Source organism: Homo sapiens, chromosome 9 (genome assembly GCF_000001405.40).
Source record: "Homo sapiens chromosome 9, GRCh38.p14 Primary Assembly".
NCBI lineage: Eukaryota > Metazoa > Chordata > Mammalia > Primates > Hominidae > Homo > Homo sapiens.
Genome location: NC_000009.12, coordinates 135,922,208 through 135,946,167, shown reverse-complemented (window position 1 = coordinate 135,946,167; position 23,960 = coordinate 135,922,208). Strand labels below are relative to the sequence as shown.

At 54.2% G+C, this 23,960-nt stretch overlaps 1 protein-coding gene across 1 annotated transcript in view, besides 4 other annotated features; it reads left to right on the top strand.

Annotated features, from left to right (window-relative positions):
• UBAC1 (UBA domain containing 1) overlaps positions 1-13,199 on the top strand; it is a 28,405-nt gene extending 15,206 nt beyond the window's left edge. The window contains exons 6-10 of the mRNA NM_016172.3: positions 171-279; positions 918-1,140; positions 6,409-6,495; positions 7,808-7,946; positions 12,653-13,199. Of these exons, the coding sequence (NP_057256.2) occupies positions 171-279; positions 918-1,140; positions 6,409-6,495; positions 7,808-7,946; positions 12,653-12,768 (674 nt within the window). The 3' untranslated portion in view covers positions 12,769-13,199. The remainder of the gene's footprint in view (positions 1-170; positions 280-917; positions 1,141-6,408; positions 6,496-7,807; positions 7,947-12,652) is intronic.
• Positions 4,151-4,445: a silencer, noted in NCBI's record as "tiled region #7357; K562 Repressive non-DNase unmatched - State 17:Gen3'". NCBI's record gives its function as "represses a minimal TATA promoter and a strong SV40 promoter by Sharpr-MPRA in K562 cells {active_cell/tissue: K562}" and the evidence as "EXISTENCE:reporter gene assay evidence [ECO:0000049][PMID:27701403]".
• Positions 13,958-14,457: an enhancer, noted in NCBI's record as "H3K4me1 hESC enhancer chr9:138823557-138824056 (GRCh37/hg19 assembly coordinates)". NCBI's record gives its function as "activates a minimal SCP1, AML or CMV promoter by ChIP-STARR-seq in naive H9 embryonic stem cells {active_cell/tissue: H9 hESC(naive)}" and the evidence as "EXISTENCE:reporter gene assay evidence [ECO:0000049][PMID:30033119]".
• Positions 19,208-19,257: an enhancer, noted in NCBI's record as "active region_29294". NCBI's record gives its function as "activates an Ori minimal core promoter by ATAC-STARR-seq in GM12878 lymphoblastoid cells {active_cell/tissue: GM12878}" and the evidence as "EXISTENCE:reporter gene assay evidence [ECO:0000049][PMID:35858748]".
• Positions 20,294-20,373: an enhancer, noted in NCBI's record as "active region_29293". NCBI's record gives its function as "activates an Ori minimal core promoter by ATAC-STARR-seq in GM12878 lymphoblastoid cells {active_cell/tissue: GM12878}" and the evidence as "EXISTENCE:reporter gene assay evidence [ECO:0000049][PMID:35858748]".

Below are 23,960 nucleotides of genomic sequence, written 5' to 3'. Positions count from 1 at the left end.
TTATGGAAGCGCTGATGAGGGCCTGGGGCCTGCCTCACCGGCAACTCCTGTTGATGTGCCTGAGGGCGGGCAGGTGGAGCTCAGACAGATAATTGCTGCAAATGTTTGTGCTCAGATAAGGCCCCTGAACCTGAGGCTGGAGCCCTCATGGCCCTGTCGTCTCCCTGCAGCAATGCTGGACGAGGACGAGGATGAGCGTGTGGACGAGGCTGCCCTGCGGCAGCTCACGGAGATGGGCTTTCCGGAGAACAGAGCCACCAAGGCCCTTCAGCTGAACCAGTGCGTGGGGGGCCACCTCCTTCCCTTGCCGGAGACACCTGGGGCCTGGTTTTGTGGGGCTCCCACCGTGGGTGACGTCCTCCTACCCTAAACTCTTTGACTGAATCATTTCTAACGTGGGGTTTTGAAGAGGTACCTTAAATATGTGCCTCCAAAGTGTTTTTGGGGTGAATGTGACAGAACAGTCGTTGTGTAAATTCTCTTTGGGCCGTTGTATGAGAACTCAAGGTGAATCCCGTTCGTAGCAGGGACACGGCCTCTAACAGTCTTCTCAGGATTCCCGTGTGAGTTACTTGCCCTGCTTCTGTGTTCAGATCTAAAATGAATAATCCGAGATCCAGGGGCAGCCGGGGGCAGTTCCCCCTGTGGTCCCTATCTAAGCCCTCAGCAGATATCTCTGGGTCCGCTTGCCTCTCCTTAGACATGGGCTTCTGATTCTGCCCAGGGTCTCAAGGTAGTCTGAGGCAAGGACCAGCGCTTCCGTCGCACCTGTGTTCATTCAGGTTCTTGTTATAAGGGTCACCAGCTGATGCTGGAGAAGTCACTACCATAGCAGAGGCTCTTCTTGGGAATGGACAGGAGGCGAAGGCCCTGGTCCGTTAGTCTGGGGATGTTGGAAAGAGTCTCTTGCCTTGCAGCATGTCGGTGCCTCAGGCCATGGAGTGGCTAATTGAACACGCAGAAGACCCGACCATAGACACGCCTCTTCCTGGCCAAGCTCCCCCAGAGGCCGAGGGGGCCACAGCAGCTGCCTCCGAGGCTGCCGCGGGAGCCAGCGCCACCGATGAGGAGGCCAGAGATGAGCTGACGGAAATCTTCAAGAAGATCCGGAGGAAAAGGGAGTTTCGGGCTGATGCTCGGGTATGTGTTACTAGACCTGTCGCCAGGCAGAGTCGCTGTGTCTTCCCTTGAGGTGGCGCCATGGAAAGGAAGCTGGGGCTGCATGGCTGACCTTGGGCTGAGCTGGCTCCTGTCCCAGGAGAGAGAGAAGCTGGGGAAGGGGTTTACAGGTGGGCCTGGGAAATGGCGAGCCTGGGGGCGGTGGGCCTGGGGACCGTGGCCCGAGTTTCTGAGCACACCTGTAAGTTATCCTGGCTTGAATCCAGGCGCCCCAGTTTCCTCTGTGTTGCCACATTCGTCACCTTTTGAAAAACTTGATATTTTACAGTTCCTTCTGACCACTCATCCACAAGCCCCCCCTGTTCGGCAGCCTCTCTGCGGGGTGGGGGCCCTGCCCAGAGACCGGGAGGGTCATTTGCCGTCGGGGGTGTCCATGAGCGAGGGGCCGCTCAGGCTGCCAGCCGCCTCCATGGCACAGTCTGCAGGGCTGAAGGGTCCCTGCGCCTGTGTGTGTGGACCTTCCTCGCCCGCGCCTCATCTCCCCATTCTTCCTTCTCTCTCCTGTTCTTTGATTCGGGTTTTACTTCCTCCTTGGAGGTTTCTGTCTGTCTCCGACATGCTCAGATGGCAGATCTGCTCCATCTGCATGCTGTCGTCTCGTGTGGCACTGATCGTTTCCTTGGGGTGTGTGACATTGTGCTGTGGCCTCACCTGCGGAGCTCGTGTTTTCCATGGAGTTCCATGTGGCCAGGCTGTAGACATCCACCTGGGGTGATTCTGAGTTTGCTTCTGCTGGTGATGAGTGGGGCCCCTGCCCCACCATGTCCCGCAGTGTAACCCCCGGCTTCGCAGCTCAGGTCTTCCCTGCACAGGGTTCCGTGGAGACAAATGCTTTTCTTTGTTTCTTTTAAAATTTAATTTAATGTTAAGTTCTGGGATACATATGCAGGATGTGCAGGTTTGTTACATAGGTAAACATGTGCCATGGTGGTTTGCTGCACGTGTCAGCCCATCACCTAGGTATGAAGCCCAGCATGCACTAGCTATTTTTCATGATGCTCTCCCTCCCCCAGACCCCCTGATGGGCCCCGGTGTGTGATGTTCCCCTCACTGTGTCCATGTGTTCTCATTTTTCAGCTCCCACTTATAAGTGAGAACATGAGGGGCTTGGTTTTTTGTTCCTGTGTTAGTTTGCTGAGGACAGTGGCTTCCAGCTTCATCCATGACCCTGCAAAGGACGTGATCTCGTTCCTTTTTATGGCTGCATAGTATTCCATGGTGTATATATCCCACATTTTCTTTATTCAGTCTATCCGGTTTCTTTTCTTATCCGTGGGCATTTGAGTTGATTCTATGTCTTTGCTATTGTGAGTAGTGCTGCAGTGAACATACGTGTGCACATATCTTTATAACAGAATGATTTCTATTCCTTTGGGTATATACCCAGTAATGGAATTGCAGGGACAAATGGTATTTCTGTTTCTAGGTCTTTGAGGAATCACCACATGTCTTCCACAGTGGTTGAACTAATTTACATTCCCACCAGCAATGTAAAAGCGTTCCTATTTCTCCACAGCCTCACCAGCAGCTGTTGTTTCTTGACTTTTTAATAATCATCATTCTGATTGGCATGAGATGGTATCTCATTGTGGTTTTGATTTGCATTTCTCTAATGATCAGTGATGTTGAGCCTTGCTCTGTCGCCCAGGCTGGATTCTTCCTGCCTCAGCCTCCTGAGTAGCTGGGACTACAGGCACACACCCACCACGCCCAGCTAATTTTTGTACTTTTAGTGGAGACAGGGTTTCACCATGTTGGCCAGGCTCGTCTCAAACTCCTGACCTCAAGCGATCTGCCCGCCTCGGCCTCCCAAAGTGCTGGGATTACAGGTGTGAGACACTGCGCCCGGCCAACTGTCTTCTTTTGAGAAGAGTCTGATCATGTCCTTTGCCCACTTTTTAATGGGGTTGTTTTTTTCTTGTAAATTTGTTTATTCCATGTAGATTCTGGATATTAGACCTTTGTCAGGTGAATAGATTGCAAAAACGTTCCCTTCTGTAGGTTGTCTGTTCACTCTGAGGGTAGTTTCTTTTGCTGTGCAGAAGCTCTTTAGTTAGATCCCATTGAGACAAATGCTTTTCTAGTCTATTTTCTCATCTTTTCAGGGTCCTGTTTTAAGTAAGGGTCTCAGTTCCCACTCCCTACCTCCCATGGGCCCAAGGCGCACGTTCTGTCTGTGTGTAGACATCAGACCCCGCCCTCCCAGGGCAGCCCCTGCGCACACCCTCTCCCAGGGCTAGCTTTCTGTCTCTTCCTTCTTGGGTTTCTCACTTGTGGATATCCCTTTCTTGTGAGGTTAGCTCTGCATGTAAAAGTTTCTCTTTTTTTTTTTTTTTTTGAGACAGTTTCACTCTGTCACCCAGGCTGGAGTGGCGGTGGCACAATCATGGCTCACTGCAGCCTTGACCTCCTGGGCTCAAATGATGCTACTTCAGCCTCCTGAGTAGCTCTTACAGGCACGCACCACCACACAGGGCTAATTTTTTATTTTTTAAAATTTTGTACAGATAGGGATCTCCCTGTGTTGCCCAGGCTGGTGTTGAACTCCTGGCCTCAAGTGATCCTCCTGCCTTGGCCTCCCAAAGCGCTGGAATTACAGGCATGAGCCATTGTGCCTAACCTAAAAGCATTTTTGTTTTATTTTCATCTAGCATTTCTAGGTTTAGCAGGAAGTTTGTCTCGTTGTGCTTGTCTCCTAGGGAGCCAAGTTTACATCTGATCCTGGAAGCCTGTCCAAGTGGAGCAGTCACTCTCCAGCTGGGTCCCTTGTGCTCTGAGGTTGGACTTCGCACTCTCGTGTGTTGTGGTCCTGCACGGTCTCTTGGAGGTTGTTAGTCATATACTTTCTTGCCATCTTAAGCCTTTTTGTTAAATATGGATGCTCATTCTTAACAATCTTAACGTGCTCGTTTTCCTAAGATCTTCCCCATTGCCATTCCCTCCCGTCATCTCTCTGTGTCAGAACAACATTCCGTAGAATGTCTTCTTTGATGAAAATCATCACAAGGTGGTCAAGGCTTGAGGGGCCAGCCCATCAGTCCTCCTAGCCTTTGGTTTCTGTACAAGTCATGAGATCAGGCAGTCGTCCAGTAGGGATCGAGATACTAGCTTTGTTACTGAGAAAGGATTGGAGAGCTCTGACTTGAGGCCAAAACAGATTTCCTGCTGCCCCTCCCTTCCCAGTGGTAGACAGGATGCCTGCTGTCCGGGGGCAGAGCTGGCAGGGCCCGACGTCCTGCAGCCCGTGAGCGCAAGGCCCCTCTCCCATTGCCCACAAGCAAGTCTTTGCCCCCATGGGCTGGGAGGGAGGGCAGGGACTGCCAGGTGTTGCCTTGGGAGTACTGGGGCATCATTTCCTGGGCTGAGGTAGAAATGAGCGACAGTACTTCCTATTGAAGCTAGTGAGGAGGGCATCCTGTCCTTGAATTCAGTAGATTCCAGGCTATTCTGTATGACTTTGATATCAAAATATTGTGCGGTGGGTTCTTCCAGAGTTCATTGTTGGAGCTCCTGGATTAGGGTGTGGCTCAGGAAGGCAATTGTGATGGACCATAAATAGAAAATACAGAGTTTTTTCTTTTTTGAGATGGAGTCTCACTGTGTCGCCCAGGCTGGAGTACAGTGGTGCGATCTTGGCTCACTGCAACCTCCACTTCCCAGGTTCAAGCGATTCTCCTGCCTCAGGCTCCCGAGTAGCTGGGATTACAGGTGCCCGCCACCACGCCCAGCTACTTTTTGTATTTTTAGTAGAGATGGGGTTTTCCCATGTTGGCCAGGCTGGTCTCAAACTCCTGACCTCAAGTGATCCTCCCACCCCGGCCTCCCAAAGTGCTGGGATTACAGGCGTGAGCCACTGCTCCCGGCTGGGACTTTTGACCTGATCATGCACACAGTTTAGCTCTAGCCAGCATCCTTCCTGAGCTCCACCCCAGCTGAAGTCTTTTTCTGCCAGGTTCTCTTGGAAGCATCTGATGGTGCAGTCCAGACTGGCTGTGGACGTGCACCGTCCGCGGGGTGCAGTGCTGCATGAAGTCAGCCTGGGTGGTGCTGGGAGCTGTGTGGGGCTGGCACCCCTAGACCACCTTATGGTGGCCGGAAAACTGCCAAAGATGGAGAGGACTCTGGGGGCTTCAAGAGAGTGGGATCTGACCTTTCAGGGATTAGGAGAGGCCCTTGAAATTTTGATGAAGCCTTCATCTTACTTATTTATATTTTTTCAAAATGGACCCCTTTAAACATTGTGGTATAAATCTCCAGAGTAGAGGATGTATTATCTTGTTACATGAATTGTGTCCAGAAAATGTATGTCCTTCCCCAAAAACGAATTAGCATATGTTCAGTTGTAGCTTAAGTTTTGTTCAATATTAAAAGTTAAAAAATTAGTTTTAGGATTTTTTTTTTTTTTTTTTGAGATGGAGTCTCGCTCTGTCGCCCAGGCTGCAGTGCAGTGGCGCGATCTTGGCTCACTGCAAGCTCCGCCTTCCAGGTTCATGCCATTCTCCTGCCTCAGCCTCCCGAGTAGCTGGGACTACAGGCGCCTGCCACCACGCCCAGCTAATTTTTTTGTATTTTTAGTAGAGACGGGGTTTCACCGTGTTAGCCAAGATGGTCTTGATCTCCTGACCTGGTGATCCGCCTGCCTCGGCCTCCCAAAGTGCTGGGATTACAGGTGTGAGCCACCGCGCCCGGCCCTAGGATTTTTTTTTTTCTAAGATAAAATCTGAATAAAACCTTTTTTCACAGGTTACAATGGCATTTTTGTTTCCGTTGAGATTGCACTTACTGACGTGGCCTTTCCCTAATGCCACTTCTCTTTGGGTAACAAGGCCCTCTGGGGTAAACCTGCGGTGGCTGCCGAGACAGTCTTATCCACACAGTCATCGGGACAAACCTGAAAGGGTCTGAAGTTGGCCTGACTGCCTCGTGTCCACATAAGCGATGCGTTTCTACCTGTCACAACCTGTGGCTCCCTGAAGACAAGCCTGGGAGCTGCACTGCCCCCCGGCTCTGCTAACTACAGTCATCCCTGCACTTCCTCGGCTTTAGGATGCTGAAAACCAAGATCTGTTTTAGCAGAGCTGTGAGGAAAGAACGTGGACGGACAGCGTCCTCAGTGCTGTTGGGAGCACCCTCCGCTAGGGTGCGGGGAGCGGGCCCCTCTGCACGCAGGTCACTGGTTCCTCGGCCTCCTGCCGCCCCCAGCGAGCTAACGGCTGTGCTGTCCTCTAGGCCGTCATTTCCCTGATGGAGATGGGGTTCGACGAGAAAGAGGTGATAGATGCCCTCAGAGTGAACAACAACCAGCAGAATGCCGCGGTGAGTGTTGGGCTGTGGTGAGTGAGTGTGGGCTGTGGTGAGTGAGTGTGGGCTGTGGTAAGTGTGGGCTGTGGTGAGTGAGTGTGGGCTGTGGTGAGTGAGTGTGGGCTGTGGTGAGTGTGGGCTGTGGTGAGTGAGTGGGGGCTGTGATGAGTGAGTGTGGGCTGAGTGAGTGTGGGCTGTGGTGAGTGAGTGTGGGCTGTGAGTGTGGGCTGTGGTGAGTGAGTGTGTCAGGCTGGGCGAGTGCTGGGAGCCTCACTCGTGAGCGCCCCGGGCGTGGTGGAGGCCGTGTGTTTGCCTACTTTCACATGCAGCCGGCTATGTGGCTTTTAAAGTGAGACAATTGGATAGATGGCTCAAACAGTATAAAAATTTAAAAATACGGAATTCTAGGTTTTTAAAAGGGTGCCTTATATGTACATATTTTATGGATGGGTAATTTGTTCATTTTTTTTTTTTTTTAATTTTTTTGGAGTCAGGGTCTCACTCTGTCCCCCAGGCTGGAGTGCAGCGGTGTGATCACACTCACTGCAGCCTCGACCTCCTGGGCCCAAGCGATCCTCCTGCCTCAGCCTCCTGAGTAGCTGGGACCACAGGCATGCACCACTATGCCCGGCTAATTAGTTTTTTAGAGACAAGATCTCCCTTTGTTGCCCAGGCTGATCTTGAACTCCTGGCTTCAATCGATCCTCCTGCTTTGGCTTCCAAAGTGCTGGGATTACATGCATGAGCCACCACTCCCAGCCCATTTTTCTGATTAAACTGACTCAAGAATGATTCCCGTCCTGTGCCCGTGTGCCAGCTGGGCTGATGGAGCTGTGCCTGGGGAGGTCCCTGTGGTGGCCCACATCCCCCCCCCACCATCCCCCGTGCCAGTGGAGTTCGTGGCTCACACCTCCAAGACAGAGATGAGGAGCCTGTGTCCTCATGGCTCCAGCACTGCTGACTGCCCATAACAGGACCACAGGCAAGCTGGGCACTTGGTACATTTGTTAATCACCTTCCCAACACTCCTGGGTGGGCCACACTGGCCCAGGTAAGTGGGGAAGCGGCAGCAGTCAGTGATCCCTGCGACACCAGGGTCTGCAGAGAAAAGCGGACTAGCTCTTCCTTCTCTGGCCTGGTCTGACACGCACGGCAGTGAATCCAGACTGCGTTTGTCTTCACGGTAGAGTCCCTTCCAGGGAGATCAGCCCTGGGGGCTCAACAGGAACTCACAGAAAGGTGCAGGAGCTGTCATGCCTGCTGCTGGTGGCGTCTTGCGGAGGCACTGAAGGCGCTAACAGTGGTATTGGTGCTCTTGGCTTTGCAGTGCGAGTGGCTGCTGGGGGACCGGAAGCCCTCTCCGGAGGAGCTGGACAAGGGCATCGACCCCGACAGTCCTCTCTTTCAGGCCATCCTGGATAACCCGGTGGTGCAGCTGGGCCTGACCAACCCGAAAACATTGCTAGGTATGTGCGCCTTCTTTATGCTAAGTCTCGGGTCGGGGAGGCTGGCTGGTTCCCTTGCAGGACAAATAGGTGCTGCGGAGGCGATACGGAGGATCCAGCGCTGAGGATCGCCGTGCGCTGGCAGCACGTCCTGCCATGCAGGTTGGCATCCTGCGGGTGTAGTCCCGCTACGTCACTGTGGGGCCCGCAGGTCAGGTTCTGATCGTGGTGTGACTGTCTCCTGCGCGATGACCCTGACATAGGCCTCAGAAAACCAGTGCCAGTGGCTTTCCGAGGGCCAGCGGGGTGGAGACTGCGCCAGCAGCTTAGGAACTCACGGGAGGACAAGGTGTGGTTTGGGCTTTTGCTCTTACTACTCGTCAGGGTCTTCGATGGCAATGGTTTATTTTTATTGTGAGATACGTACATACAAAAGTGTATATGATGATGTAACTTTAAAGAAGAATAAAACTAATAGCCATGTATCTACTATTCAGCTTTGGGCCTGGGGTGCCCCTCCCCTATGCACCTCATCCCTCCCTCCGGTGTGGCCGTCGCCGTGGCCGCGGCTTACCTCTCTGCTTCCCGGTAGAGTTTTGCCGTATTTGTGTCTCCTTAAACAATCTCTCATTTGCTGCTGCCTTTGTGTAAGTAGAATCATGTTTTAAGCAGGCCTCTGTGACTGACTGCGTTCTTTGTGGGGGTTGTGGAGTATTTTCTTGATGGAAGGCACTGGGAACCCAGGGCTCGTTGGGTTGTCTACATGTGGTGCCACTCCTGATTTTTTTTTTTTTTTTTTTTTGAGACAGAGTCTCGCCTTGTCACCCAGGCTGGAGTGCAATGGCATGATCTCGGCCCACTGCAACCTCCGCCTCCCAGGTTCAAGCAATTCTCCTGCCTCAGCCTCCTGAGTACCTGGGATTACAGGCGTGCACTACCACGCCTGGCTAATTTTTCGTATTTTAGTAGAGACGGCTTTCACCATGTTTGCCAGGCTGGTCTCGAACTCCTGACCTCGTGATCCACCTGCCTCAGCCTCCCTAAGTGCTGGGATTACAGACCTGTTGGTCCCCAGGAGCTGAGTTCCTGGATGTTGGGAGGGCCTTTGCCACCCGAGCAGGCTGGAAGTGTCTCTGGAGCTGCGATGGCCGTGCCCTGATCTTGAAGGCTGGCCTTCTTTCAGAAGCGTATTGGCCGCCTGTAGAACCTTGGCTGTGAGAGACCTTCCGCTCAGCGTTTGGCCTGCTTTTCTCTTGGATTGTTTTCTTATTCATTCAGAAAGGTCCTCACCTCCTGGATGCTGACCCTTTTCCCATTATTTGTGTTGCAGATGCCGTTGTTCAGTTTCTGGTTTATTTCCTCACACTGATGGGCAGAATCCCGTGTTTTGATGTCCTTCAGTGTGTCTGTATTTTTTTTAAGATGTGAACCTTTAAAGAAAACCCTCCATGGCTGGGCGTGGTGGCTCACGCCTGTAATCCCAGCACTTTGGGAGGCTGAGGCAGGTGGATCACGAGGTCAGGAGTTCAAGACCAGCCTGGCCAAGATGGTGAAACGCTGTCTTTACTAAAAATACAAAAAATTAGTTGGGCATGGTGGTATGCACCTGTAATCCCAGCTACTCTGGAGCTGAGGCAGAGAATTGCTTAAACCTGGGGGGCGGAGGTTGCAGTGAGCCGAGATCGTGCCACTGCACTCTAGCCTGGGCGTCAGAGCAAGACTCCACCTCAAAAAAAAAAAAAAGAAAAAGGAAAACCCTCCTATCCGAAAGTCAGAAACACGTTTTCCTTTTATTTTTTTTTCCAAAAATGTTAAAAGTTTCTCTTAATTTAAGTCCATAATCTACCTAGAAGTATGTGTGTGGTGTGAGGTAGGGATCTTCTTTGTACCCAAATTCTAAAACTTGAGAATGGTCTTTTGTGAGTTTATTTTTATTCTTAGTGATTCCTTTCACACTGAAAGCATATTCCTCCTAGCTCTCCAGCTGTTTGTATACCTTAGGATGTTAGTGTGTGCTGCCTTGGGGTCTGTCCAATAACTTTTTCTTTTTTTTTTCCTAATAGAAATAGGCTCTTTCTCTGTCACCCAGGCTAGAGTGCAGTGATGGCGCCACTGTCCATGCAAGATCTGCCCCCAGCACACACACTTGCCCACCTCCATATTATAGACAAGACCTTCATTGTTTTAACTTGTATTCCTCTTTTTTTTTTTTTTTTTGAGATGGAATCTCGCTCTGTCACCCAGGCTGGAGTGCAGTGGCACGATCTCAGCTCACTGCAAGCTCCGCCTACCGGGTTCACGCCATTCTCCTGCCTCAGCCTCCTGAGTAGCTGGGACTACAGGTGCCCGCCACCGTGCCCGGCTAATTTTTTGTATTTTTAGTAGAGACAGGGTTTCACCGTGTTAGCCAGGATGGTCTTGATCTCCTGACCTCGTGATCCGCCCGTCTCGGCCTCCCAAAGTGCTGGGATTACAGGCTTGAGCTACTGCGCCTGGCCACTTGCATTCCTTTTGGTTATTAGCAATGTTGAATACTTTTCTGTTGGCCATTGCATTTCTTCTTTTACATACTGTCTATGCGTGTCATCTATTTGTTTTCCTTCTTTTTATGGAGACAGGGTCTTGATCTGTCACCCAGGCTGGAGTGCAGTGGTACAATCACAGCTTACTGCAGCCTTGACCTCCTGGGCTCAAGTCATCCTCATGGGTAGTTATGACTACAGGCATGCACGACCATGCCCAGCTATTTTTTTTGTTGTTGTTGAGATGGGGTCTCGTTTTTTTGCTCAGGCTAGTCTTGAACTCCTGGCTTCAAGCGCTCCCCCCACCTCTGCCTTCTAGAGTGCTGGGATTGTAGGCGAGAGCCATTGTGCCTGGCACATGTGTTTTTCAATTGCAATATTAATCCTAGAGCTTCCTTAATAGCTTCTTGGATATTAGGCACATCTTCCTTTGTTGAATGTTGTAAACTGTTTTTGCTCTCTAATTTTGTGTGGCATTTTCTGACATACAGAAGTTAGGATATACAGAAGACAGTCCTTCCTCAGGTTGGGCATGGTGGCTCATGCCTGTAATTGTAGCACTTTGGGAGGTTGAGGCAAGAGGATCACTTGAGCTCAGGAGTTCGAGACCAGCCTGGGTAACATAGCAGGACCTCCTCTCTACTAAAAAAGCAAACAAACAAAAAAACAAAATCAGCCAGGAGTGGTGGCACACGTACCTGTAGTCCCTGCTACTCAGGGGACTGAGGTGGGAGGATCATTGAGTCTGGGAGTTCAAGGCTGCAGTGAGCCATGATCACTCCACTGCACTCCAGCCTGGGCAACAAAGCAAGTCGCTGTCTCAAAAAAAAATTAAATTCAAAAAGGAAAGTCCTTCCTCAGATAAATAATCATCTGTGTGGTTTTTCATATTTAACTCTTTATCTTTTTGTTCAACTCTTTCATCCTTCCAGAATTTATTTTGCTGTTTATTGAGAGGAAATGGGAAATTAAGTTCCCCGCCCTGTGTGTGAAACAGCTGTTTCGCACCTTATAGTTTGTTCTTTCTGAGTCTTTTTCTGGGATTTTTATTTTTATTTTTTGAGACGGAGTCTCACTCTGCTGCCCAGGCTGGAGTGCAGTGGCGCAATCTCGGCTCACTGCCAGCTCCGCCTCCCTGGTTCATGCTATTCTCCTGCCTCAGCCTTCCGAGTAGCTGGGATTATAGGCGCCTGCCACCACGCCCAGCTAATTTTTTATATTTTTAGTAGAGACAGGGTTTTACCGTATTAGCCAGGATGGTCTCGATCTCCTGACCTCATGATCCGCCTGCTTCGGCCTCCCAAAGTGTTGGAATTACAGGCATGAGCCACCGTGCCTGGCTTTTTCTGAGATTTTAAAGTGGTTTTTGGAGACTTTTAATCAGAACACCAGAGGATTGTTTTAAGGCCTGGGGATTGTCCAATCATGAACAGAGCCAAGTTGGGTTCACTCTGAGCTCTGTGCTCAGCCATGGGCTACTGGGCCGTGAATGGCTGTGAATTCTGTAGTGAGCACTGTCCCTGGAGCCTGTAGACCTGGGGCCACTTATGCTGAAGTGCGTCCATGTGTGTCAGGTCAGCATGGAGCCATCGATCCTGGCAGAGGGGCTGGCAGAACGCGTGCTCCTTCACAGTGGGTGGAACAGAGAGCTTTTTGCTAAAAGCCACCTGTTTTGGGGAAACAGTTTTGTAAAGCTGTTAAAACCCAAGTTTTCATTTTGAAGAAGTGCTGTGTTGCATTTTTAATGTGCTGGTTTTTTGAAGAAGGAATTTTCTGAAGGCTGAGCATTACGTTTTTCCAGTTTGTTGTTAACTTTGCAACAGTGTCTGTGTGTGTCCTTTCTGCATCTGCTGACCTTCTCGGGGTGGGATTGGAAGTGGAGTTGTTGGGGAAGATGATTTTTGAGCCCTGGCGGCTGCCAGACAGCTGCCGAGAGTGGGGGTGCCATGAGCACGCACAGGCACACTGCCCACCTGCCAGAATTGAGTGCATGACTCTCTGTGATCAGATCTGATTTGATGGGTGCATCCGATGGAGTTGGGTGGGTTTCAGCCTGAGAGTGCACACTTAGCAGTGAGCTCTGTGTGGCCTTTGTATTGGAGACGCACCCTCTTCATTAGGAAGCTGCCGAAGAGGAAAGTCACGCCTGTGCCTGTGGGCTGAGTGGGGGCGTGGGCACTCAGGCTGGCTCTGTTTTCCCTGCAGCATTTGAAGACATGCTGGAGAACCCACTGAACAGCACCCAGTGGATGAATGATCCAGAAACGGGGCCTGTCATGCTGCAGATCTCTAGAATCTTCCAGACACTAAATCGCACGTAGGTGGCGTTGTTCCACTCGGCTATCAGGCCACAGCAGCCCCCTGGTGCGGCCCGAGACCGGGCAGAGTGGACCTCACCTGGAAACTCACCTTCAGCGCCTCAGCCCTGGACTGTTAGAGGTGCTGCAGCTGCTCCTGCTCTCTGATCTTATTGCTTATAAACTTTGGTGACGGTAGTGTGTAAGGCCGTATTTTTAGCATCTGACAGGTGTTTACAAAAAAGTGGTTGTCGCACTGGGAAGTGGAGTGATGGCCTCGTCTCCAGTGCTCCTCTGGGCTCTTGAGTTGCTGCTTGAATTGCCGTGTAGACATTTGCTTGGAGAGTCCACTTGTTATTTGACGGAGGTAGGTTTCAACCCAGAGTTAATGTCAAGCATGCTAATTTAACTAGTCACTCACAGATGACTTTTCTTTAATAAAGTCCCTTTTCCTATTTCCTGTCTTCGTCTTTTCTTGGTGCCGCACAAGAAACCCGTGCGTCCCCGAGAGGCCACATCCCCGCGGCTCCGTGCCGGCTGCTCTGACCCGGGGCGGGCACCGGGGCCACCGCAGCATGTGGGAGGCCTTGTGGCCATGTTTGGTTGGCAAAGCCTCGTGTTGTATTGGGTTTAAGGGACTGGAGCTGAGCCCGTATTCCTGGGACACAGGTCCTGAGCCCAAGCACGGCTGCCTCCGCCTACCTCTGGCCTCTTCCTCCTTTTTTTTCATTTTAAAAAACATGACCGGTGTCTTAAAATGAGAAAATGAATTTATTTTGTTTTTTGTGAACTCTGCTCATTATTGTTGCTGGAAGCAGTCAGTTCCGAGCTGTTTGTTTTGAACTTCTCTTCTGAACCAGCCCCCTCCCCTTCTGAACTCTGCTTGCATTGTAGCTGAGTAAGAATGTTTTCGGAAAATGTTTCTCTCCACACATCTAGGTCTTTTCATTGTTTTTGAGATTTAGATTTAAAACTAAAGTTAATTTAAACTCTTTGGGCAGAAATATTAAAAATGCTTTTCAAAAGTAATGAATCTCGGCCGGGCGCGGTGGCTCACACCTGTAATCCCAGCACTTTGGGGGACCGAGGCAGGCGGATCACGAGGTCAGGAGATCAAGATCATCCTGGCTAACACGGTGAAACCCCGTCTCTACTAAAAATACAAAAAATTAGCCGGGTGTGGTGGCGGGTGCCTGTAGTCCCAGCTACTTGGGAGACTGAGGCAGGAGAACGGTGTGAATTCGGGAGGCGGAGCTTGCAGTGAGCCAAGATCGCGCCACTGCACTCCAGCCTGGGCGACAGAGCAAGACTCCGTCTCAAAAAAAAAAAAAAAAGTAGCGAATCTCACTTCTTTTTGAGACGGAGTCTCAAAAAAAAAAAAGATGCCTGTCTACTACCCTGCTGCCAGGCCACAGGCCCTCGGCCCGCCCCACGTCAGCAGGGTCTAGCCAGCCACAGTGCCCTCCTTGCCCGCCATCCTCTTTTGGCAAACTTGTGAGTCGGAAGAGAATGTTCTCCTCAGCGAGTTTAAGAGTCAAAGTTGGGAAATTCCTTCCGAGGAACCTCTGGACAGGTGTGTCCTCAGCCCGCCTCCTGCGGGCTGTGGAGCCGTGCTTTCCACGGGTTCGCTGGCTGCCTGGCTCATCTTGCTGTGGCCTGAGCGTCCACAAGGTGGGCGAGGGGCCACACCAACACCTGCCTGATGTGGCCATGAGGAGGGAAGTGTGTGCCAGTGCCTTTCCTCGGAGATGCTGCGTTCGCTCCCGTTGGCTGGTCCTGCACATGCAGCTTCTCCAGGTGCGCCTCCTCCGCTAGCCCCGTGTTCTGCCGCGCCCGCCTTTCAGTCCCCAGAGGCCCTGAGGTCGGGAATGCGCGTTCTCACCCAGCCCTGTCCTCTGGTGAGCGTGGATCCACGTTTTAACCTGGTCGCGGTTTGCATGCAGTTGTGGAGTTCTGGGTGAGTAAACACCACGTGCCGCCGAGGCCTTCCCAGGGGCTGCGGGCCGTCCGTAGATGGGTTCTGGAGCACGTCGCAGCTGCCCTGGTGAATGTGGTTTCTGCTCCTGCAGCGGCTGCTGGGGAGGTGGGGAGTGCTCTGGGCCTGGTTGCAGTCCTGCCGCTTCTCTGGGCCAGGCCATCAGCGCACACATGGGCGAGGCACCATCCCTGTGAACACAGCCTGTGTCTGGCACGCGTATTTTAGGGCTGAGGTTGTATCTTACAAGGTGAAATGAAATGGCCGGCAAACTCTAGAAATTCTTCGTTTACGTGGACTTCAGTTCCATGACCAGTAACGCTGCTGTCCATGTGTGCCTTCGCCACAGTGGCCCATGAACTAGGGGCAGGCAGCTGGCCGAGCCTGGCCCTGAGCGCAGTTGTGTTCCAGCTGCTGAGGGCCAAGTGGCTTCTCAGCCCATGGGGCCAGGCTGCCTGGCTCTGGGGGGCGTGGGTGCTGGGTCGGGGACGCTGGGTCGTACACAGATGTTCCGGTGCACATTGCTCTGTTGAGATAAGGGCCACCTGTGTCATTTTGAGCTTCTGCTAAGCCGTTTTTCTTCTTCCGGGGTCCTGTGGAGCAGGACCCCTGGGCAGTGCCCTGTGGCCATACTCAGGGCTCTAGACCAGGGTGTGATGCCGAGGCAGGTCACCTGTGTGCCAGGGAAGGTGGAGGGAGTTAGATGGCTCACTTGGCCAGCATTCCCTCCTGCTCCGGTGGCCGAGCTTGGCGATGACACATGCGTTTCCTCGTGGAGTGGGATCATGCTGAGATTCCAGGACAGCGTGGCTCAGCTGCTGGAGGGGTGACTTCCCCTGAGATCGTGGGGTCAGGACATTGCTGTGCCGACTGTAGGCGCCGTCCACACAAGCAGGGGATTCCTCCCCCCAGGTGCAGAGAGAGGTGGCCCAGCCACTTGGGCCACTACAGCGAGCTGGCATGGCGGTGGGACCCCGGGTGAGGAGTCTGAAGGCAGGGGTGGGGCTCACTGTCAGCTGGTGGGGACTGGGGGGCTCCGGGAGGTACTGGATGTGGGAGAGGCTGGGGGTCCACCAGCCTGCATCCTTCTCGAGGTCAGGGCCCTGCTCCGTCCCGTTTCAGGGCTGGCTGGTTGTGGAGGCACTTGGAAAACACTCGCTGGAACAGGCGGGTGGGAGGTGGGGCTGGGACAGGGAGCATGGGAGCCAGAGACCGCAGGAGCCTGAATCCCAGAGGACATTCCTGCTGGGGGTGTGGGGACAGCACCATCGGGGGCCTCAGTGCATCCGGGGAGCAGGTGGGGCCTGCCTGGGTCAGCCTCAGCCCAGCTGTGGGGTTCGCCCCCGTGCCCTTCGCTGCCCTTGGAGGCATGCTTGGTCCCACGGGAAGGCAGGAGGATGAGCTGCCATTTGCAGGGTGTGGGGTGGGCAGAGCATTCATGCGCTGGGCACAGCCTCAGCCAGAGGAAGGGCATTGTTGGCGTTCTGGGCCCAGCACAGGCTGGAGAGAAGGAACCCTCATGTGCAGATGTGGCCGAGCCTCCTAACCATGAGAGCACCGCCCAGAGACAGCATGTGCCCAGGGGTGCCCCCGCCCACCCAGGGGCTCTCTCTCGGGTTAGGGCCGGGAGTCGGGTGTGGCACCTGCAAGCAGCTTTCTGTGCCCAGTGGAGGCTTGGAAGGCACAGCTGCCTCCAGGTGAGGATGCCTGGTGCCTGGCTGGGGACTGACTCCCAGGCAGAGAACACAGCCATGTGGCTCTGGGGGACAAGGGTTTGGATGCTGCAGACTGGGCAGGGCTGGGGGCGGGGGTCTGAGGCAGTTAGTGGCTCTTCGACGTTCTCTCAGAGCTCGCTCTGGTTTCCCGCCTGACGGTCTCCCCTTGAACAGCTGCACTTAAGTGAGGTCCACCCTTGCCCCACTCCCAGGCGGGCTCACTGGCTTGGCACACGAGGGAGTCTGAGGGAGCCCCCTGTGGGGTGGTGCCTGCATTCTGGGCTCCCAAGAGCTGGCTTCCTGCAGGGGAACCTGCCAGTGCACCCCCGGCACTTTCCTGGGATCGAGTCTCCGCCAGGGATGTCTCCTGGCTTGGTCCTCAAGGGTCTGCCAGCCTCATACCCCGCAGGGCACGGTGGGCTCTCCAAGGCCAGGCAGGGCCTTTTTGACGGGTTCAGCCTAAGCCCAGGGCTGGCAGGGCCAGGGCCTGCGGTTGGGCTGCTCATCACCCAGCAGTCGCCGGGGAGCATGGCTGAGTGCCCTGTCCCCAACTGTCACTGCCCACATAACTGGGGGTGGGCCCAGGGCTTTCTTTGGCCAGCAGGTGCCCCACTCTCTTCTCCACATTCCCAAGAGGGGCTCCCTTCACCCACAAGCTGTCCTTAGGGGCTCAGAATGAGTCCCAGCCTGTGTAGGGCCCCAAGTGTGGTCCTCCCGCGCCTCCCAGGCAGCCCCTGGGCTGTGGGCAGGCTCTGGCGCCAGCAGGGCATGAGCCTGGCTCTCGCCCAGCAGTGGGGTCTCTGTCCACCCTGCATCGTGCTCAGCCTCCCCCAGGCAACTGCGCTCTTCCTCTCAGCAGCCATGCGCCCCCTGGGCCGTGTGGCCACACTCCTGCCCTGTGCTTGGCCTCTCTGGGGTGGGCGGGGATGCCCACCCTCCCAGTGCCACCTCCCGGGCTCCTGAGAACTGTGAGCCCCATCCTGGGCTGGCCTCTGCTTCACCCAGAGGCTGTGGACCTCACAGCCCAGGCACGTCCCCTTCCCCTCTGGGGACCTGGCTGACCCCTCCTGGGCTCCTGAATGACAAGGGCCTGGATCCCAGACTTGTGAGGGCCCTTCCAGGTCCCTGTCAGAGTGGACCCCACCCACACCCAAGAGCACGTTCCTGCCCTGGTGTGAGCCTCGGGCACCAGGGCCACAGCCAGGGATCAGGGCCACTGCCGAGGGCCGTGGTGGAGCAGGCCTGGGACCATGAGCCCTGTGGCCGCAGCGGCTCTGCAAGCTGGCAGAGTCCTGACAAAAGCTCTGGGACCTGCACCCCTGTCCTTGAGTGGAGATGGATGGAGACAGGAGACCTGGTGTCCAGGCTCCGCCGCAGCAGGCACTGCCCTGGCAGGTCGGGGAGAGCCTGACTTCCAGGGCCCAGCCGCAGAGTCTAGAGAAATGATTTTACTCGGGCTGGGGGGTGGCGGGGACACAGGTGCCACAGAGCAGGAGGTGTGGTCAGGTGGGGCCTTCCCGCCCACAGCACTGGCTCTGTCGCCAGAAAGATCCTCCTCGAAGTGAGCTCGGAAGCGGACTCTCCCAGAGGGCAGGGGTGGCAGCTGCGGGGCTGTGGTACACTCTGCCTGCGGCGTCGCCCGTGTGTGGTTTTTGAAGTGTGTGTGTGGTGGTGTGGTGTGCGTGTGTGCTCTGTGTGCATGCACAGGCGTGCATGTGTGTGTGTGTGCTCTCTGCATGCAGAGGCGTGCGTGTGTGTGCGTGTGTGCTCTGCGTGCACAGGTGTGCGTGTGTGCTGTGTGCATGCAGAGGCATGTATGTGTGTGTGTGCATGCACAGGTGTGTGCATGTGTGCTGTGTGCATGCACAGGCGTGCATGTGTGTGCATGTGTGCTCTGCATGCATAGGCGTGCATGCGTGTATGCTGTGTGCATGCACAGGTTTGTGTGTGTGTGCGTGTGCTCTGCATGCACAGGTGTGCGTGTGTGTGCATGTGTGCTCTGTGTGCATGCACAGGCGTGCATGTGTGCGTGCGTGTGTCGTCCAGGGGAGCATCACGGGGAGGCCAGGCGTGTGCCCAGCTCCCCAAGCAAGGCCTCCTGGCTTCCCTTCCGGCTGTCCCGTGGCTCCTGTGTGGCCGGGGCCTCTGGTGTGGGCCGGCAGCTCTTGGCCCCCAATGGGGATGGAGCAGCTCCAGGGTGCCTGGGACCAGGCTGGCACTGCTGGCAGAGTCAGTAGGATGGGTGCAGCCCCTGGGGACAAGGACAGGAAGCAAGGGCAAAGGCACCTCCAGGACAGGCCAGGACAACTTCTTGGCTTCCACGCAGCCTTCCAGAGCAGGGCCACAATGCTGTCCCTGTTCCAGGCTTTGGAATGTCCTAGAGATGCTTCTCAGGTGGCCAGCCCTGAGTCCTGCACTGGAACCCAGAGAGGCAGGGCACATCCCCAAGGCCACATTGCCGTGGTCACAGAGCAGGTTAGGGCGCTGGGGGATCCCCGCCTGGCCTGCCCAGGAGAGAAAGGGCTCTCTGTGCGGCCCCGGTGCTCGAGTCCTGGAGGAGCCTGTGGCTGCAGGCTCTCAGATCTCCTCCCTTCGGGCGGGGTCTCTGGCACCTCTGCCTCTGACTCACTGGCCACCAATGGTGTCAGCAGAGGGAGCGGGAGTCCCCGGCTGCCTCAGCAAGGCCCTGTGGTGCCCGCCTGACTCTCAGGGCCTCTCGCTTTTGTTGTCCTGAGTCACCACCATCAGGAAGTCACACTGCCCTGAGGCGGCTGCGTTGCCAGGAAGCCTAGGCCACGTGGAGAGGCCACTCCAAGAGGCCACATGGATGTGCTCAGGGTGACAGCCAGAAGCGACCGCCACAGGTGGAAGTGAGGAACACACTGAAGGCCTCGCTGTGGTTGGGTCACCTGGCCGTTCTCTCCACGGCGAAGTGGAGACCACCATGGCACTGGGCCCTGCCTGGGTTCCCTTCCCGGGGCCCTTGAGTGCGGCACGATAAAGGCTGTGCGCAGCTGCCACACCTGGTGTCACTGGTCACTTGGAGTCACTGCAGCACCAGCTGAAGGAGAGAGGGTCCGGCTCAGCTGAGAGGCCGCTTCCCATCCAGTGACTGGAGGCAACTTTGTTGGAGAGTTTTCCAGCCTGAGACGGATGCAGGGGAATTTGGAGACTGGTCCCAGCCAGGGTGCATCCCAGGGTGTGGTGGGGGCTGCCCCAGTCGGCACGTCCCGCAGATCCTCACACCCTCTGGCCACTGAAGACCTCTGAGGCCAGCCTAAGGAGGGGCCTGCAGGGCTCTCCTTGTTTTTTTTCTTTGAGGCGGAGTCTCTGTCGCCCGGGCTGGAGTGCAGTGGCAAGATCTCGGCTCATTGCAACCTCCGCCTCCTGGGTTCATGCCATTCTCCTGCCTCAGCCTCCTGAGGAGCTGGGACTACAGGCGCCCAGCACCACACGCAGCTAATTTTTTTATTTCTAGTAAGACGGGGTTTCACCATGTTGGCCAGGCTGGTCTCGAACTCCTCATCTTGTGATCTGCCCACCTCAGCCTCCCAAAGTGCTAGAATTATAGGTGTGAGCCACCACAACCGGCCGTTGTTTTTAGGTTTTATGTATTTACTTTAGAGACGAGGTCTCGTTCTGTCACCCAGGCTGGAGTGCAGTGCAGCCATCACGGCTCATTGTAGCCCACAACTCCTGGGCTCAAGCATCCTCCCGCCTCAGCCTCCAGGGTAGCTGGGACTGCAGGTATGCACCACTGCGCACAGCTAGTTTTTAAATGTTCTCTAGAGACGGGGTCTTGCTGTGTTGCCCAGGCTGGTCTTGAACTTCTGGCCTCAAGCAATCCTGCCTCAGCCTCCCAAAGCACTGGGATTACAGGCATGAGCCACAGGGCCCGGCCTCTCAGTGCTTTCTGAGAATGAGCTGCTTTTCTCTTCCGCCCCCAGACCTGAACCTCAGTGTTCCTGGAAACTCCCACGCTTGCATTCTGATGCTGAATTAATCACCGTGTCCCCAGGTGGCTGCTCTTGCCAGCCAAGCACTGAGGCCTCCAAACTCAGTCCCAGGATGGCGGCGGTCGGACCCCACGCTTCCTTGGGGCTCGCTGAGGGAGGGGGTCTGACCCCACAGGCCCTACCCAGGAGTGAGTCCGGGGCCAGGGTGGCCCTCGCAGACAGCGGACACTCTCGCTGCTTCCCTCCTATCCAGGCTGGGCCCACCACTTCCATGATGTGGCTGCCCTCACCATTAATTGCTTAAACCTGGGAGACGGAGGTTGCAGTGAGCCGAGATCACGCCATTGCACTCCAGCCTGGGCAGCAAGAGTGAAACTCCATCCCCCACCCCCCCAAAAAAGAACAGCTCTACTAGGCTCTACCTGACATGCACCAAGCTGTGTGTGCGAGGTTCACAGGTTGGAGGCTCCTGAAACAAGTGGGCACCTGGGAAAGCATCAAAGTCAAGACCCCCAGCACGGGGGACCTGCAGCCGCCAGGCCACTGGTTGCACAATTCCTGAGCCGGCGGGTTTCTTTCGCCTTCTGTAGGTTCGACCTTGAAACTACAAGAGTGAATCTGAAAGTTAGTTCAAAAAGTCAAACGGGTTCACAGCAGCCAAGAGGTGGCGACAACACGAAGCCCATTGGTGGAGGAGTAGGGGGGCAACATGTGGTCACCCAGACAATGGGGTGTTCGGCACACGAGGAGGTGAGCCCTGACGCAGCGACACGCGTGAACCTTGAAGGCATCATGCTGAGCAGGACAAGCCAGGCATGAAGGTCCACATGTTGTCTTGATTCCATTTCTATGAAATGTCCACAACAGGCGAATCCACAGAGACACAAAGATGGGTGGTTGCCACGGGCTGGGGGAGGGAGGAATGGGGAGTGAGGGCTGATGGGGAGGGCGTTTCCTTCCCAGGGCATGACAGTGTTCTGGAACTAGATGGATGTGGCTGCGACGCATCGGGAATGAATGCAACGGCACTGAATTGTCCACCTTAGCACGGCTGAGTTTGTTATGTGAATTTCCCCTCAATACAAAAATAAAAAAAATTGCCTCTAATTTTCTTTCCAGCTGTAACTTCCGTGTTTTTAAGGCGTCGAACCCAATCCCTCCGTTTTACATCCTCTATGAACTAATCGATGCCCCCAAACTACTAAATTTCATTTCCCAGAAAGTTCATGAAAAACCAAAACTCCAAGGAAGAAAAACTTGAGACCCAAGCTAGTCTCGTGTTTTTTATCATCTGTGATTTTTCAAAATTTCCATGCTGGGCCTGAAGTACTGTTAGTCAGAACGGTTTATTTAAGCAAACCAATATGCATGCTTTGTCATAAAATAATTTCCATATGGTAATACACTTGTTTTTTCTGTTTGTTTGTTTTTTGAGACAGAGTCTTGCTCTGTCATCCAGGTTAGAGTGCAATGGCGCGATCTCGGCTCACCGCAACCTCTGCCACCTGGGTTCAAGTGATTCTCCTGCCTCAGCCGCCTGAGTAGGTGAGATTACGGGCATGCGTGCCACCATGCCCAGCTAATTTTTTTTTTTTTTGAGACGGAGGTCTCACTCTGTCGCCCAGGCTGGAGTGCAGTGTTGCGATCTCGGCTCACTGCAAGCTCCGCCTCCCGGGTTCACACCATTCTCCTGCCTCGGCCTCCCGAGTAGCTGGGAGTACAGGCGCCTGCCACCACACCTGGCTAATTTTTTGTATTTTCAGCGGAGATGGGGTTTCACTGTGTTAGCCAGGATGGTCTCGATCTCCTGACCTCGTGATCCACCCACCTCGGCCACCCAAAGTGCTGGGATTACAGGCGTGAGCCACCGTGCCAGACAGTAATACATCTGCAACAGTGGTATTTTAAACACAATGGGCAGGCACATTTTGGTTTGGGTTCTGCACATTTTTAGCCTTGCAAGTCAGTGGAGACAGAGATGCGTGCTGCACCGCGGGAGGTAACTAGCCTGACCCAGAAGGGCTGGGGCGCAGAGATCCCCCACCTGGGGCTCCCCGCTGACTCCTGGAGCCCAGCCTGGGGGTCGCAGGGGAGTGGGCGGAGGCCACCCTGATCCCCACGCCAGACCTCCGTCCCCAGGACTGGAGGGAGAGGAGGGAACGAGGGAAGTCCTAAAGCTAAGCCAGCTGTTTAGCCCGTTTTCCCGACTGGGGCTCTGGACAGGCCCTGCCTGCTAAATGGTAAATGCTTTAATCTCCAGCGACCTAATTTAGTTCTTTTAAAAGCACAACTCAAAGCAAAAATGAAGCTGCCTAATATTTGTTAAAACACTATTATTAGGAGAAGTGGTAATATGTTGAAATTACCTTTACAAAAATTAAAGAAAGAAAGTTGGCCGGGTGCAGTGGCTCACGCCTGTAATCCCAGCACTTTGGGAGGCCGAGGCGGGCAGATCACAAGGTCAAGAGATGGAGACCATCCTGGCCAACATGGTGAAACCCCGCATCTACTAAAAATACAAAAAAAATGAATTAGCCAGGCGTGGTGGTGCGCTCCTGTAATCCCAGCTACTCGGGAGGCTGAGATAGGAGAATCGCTTGAACCTGGGAGGCAGAGGCTGCAGTGAGCCAAGATCACGCCACTGCACTGCAGCCTGGAAACAGAGCCAGACTCCGTCTCAAAAAAAAAAAAAAAAAAGGCTGGGATTGGTGGCTTACGCCTGTAATCCCAGCACTTTGGGAGGCCGAGGCAGGCAGATCACGAGGTCAGGAGTTTGGCGGGCCCCTGTAATCCCAGCTACTCCGGAGGCTGAGGCAGGAGAATCACTTGAACCCAGGAAATGGAGGTTGCAGTGAGCCAAGATCGCACCACTGCACTTCAACCTGGGCAACAAGAGGGAAAATCCATTTCAAAAAAGAAAGTCTGTGCAGGGTGGCTCATGCCTGTAATCCCAGCACTTTGGGAGACTGAAGCAGGCGGATCACCTGAGGTCAGGAGTTTAAGACCAGCCTGGCCAACATGGTAAAACACTGTCTCTACTAAAAATATAAACATCAGCTGGGCGTGGTGGCAGGCACCTATAATCCCAGCTACTTGGGAGGCTGAGACAGCAAAATCGCTTGAACCTGGGAGGTGGAGGTTGCAGTGAGCCGAGATTGAGCCACTGCATTCCTGCCTGGCAACAGAGTGAGACTCAAAAAAAACCCCAAAAAACAAAAACCTACAAAACAAAACAAACAAACCACTGTCATTAGGGGAGATGGTAATATGTTGAAATTACCACTTTACAAAAATTAAAAAAAATAGAAAGGCTGGGCACGGTGCCTCACACCTGTAATCCCAGTGCTTTGGGAGACCGAGGTGGCAGGATCGCTTGAGCCCAGGAGTTCGAGACCAGGCTGGGCAACATAAGACCCTGTCTCCATTATTTTTTTTAAATAATAAAAAATGACCTCCTTACAATGAGGTGAGCAAGCGTCAGCCTGCAGGCCGGATGCCCAGGAGCATGGGCTCACCCTGCCCTGACTTCCAACTAGGCTGGGGGCCAGGTGGGGAAAAGTCCTGTGCCCC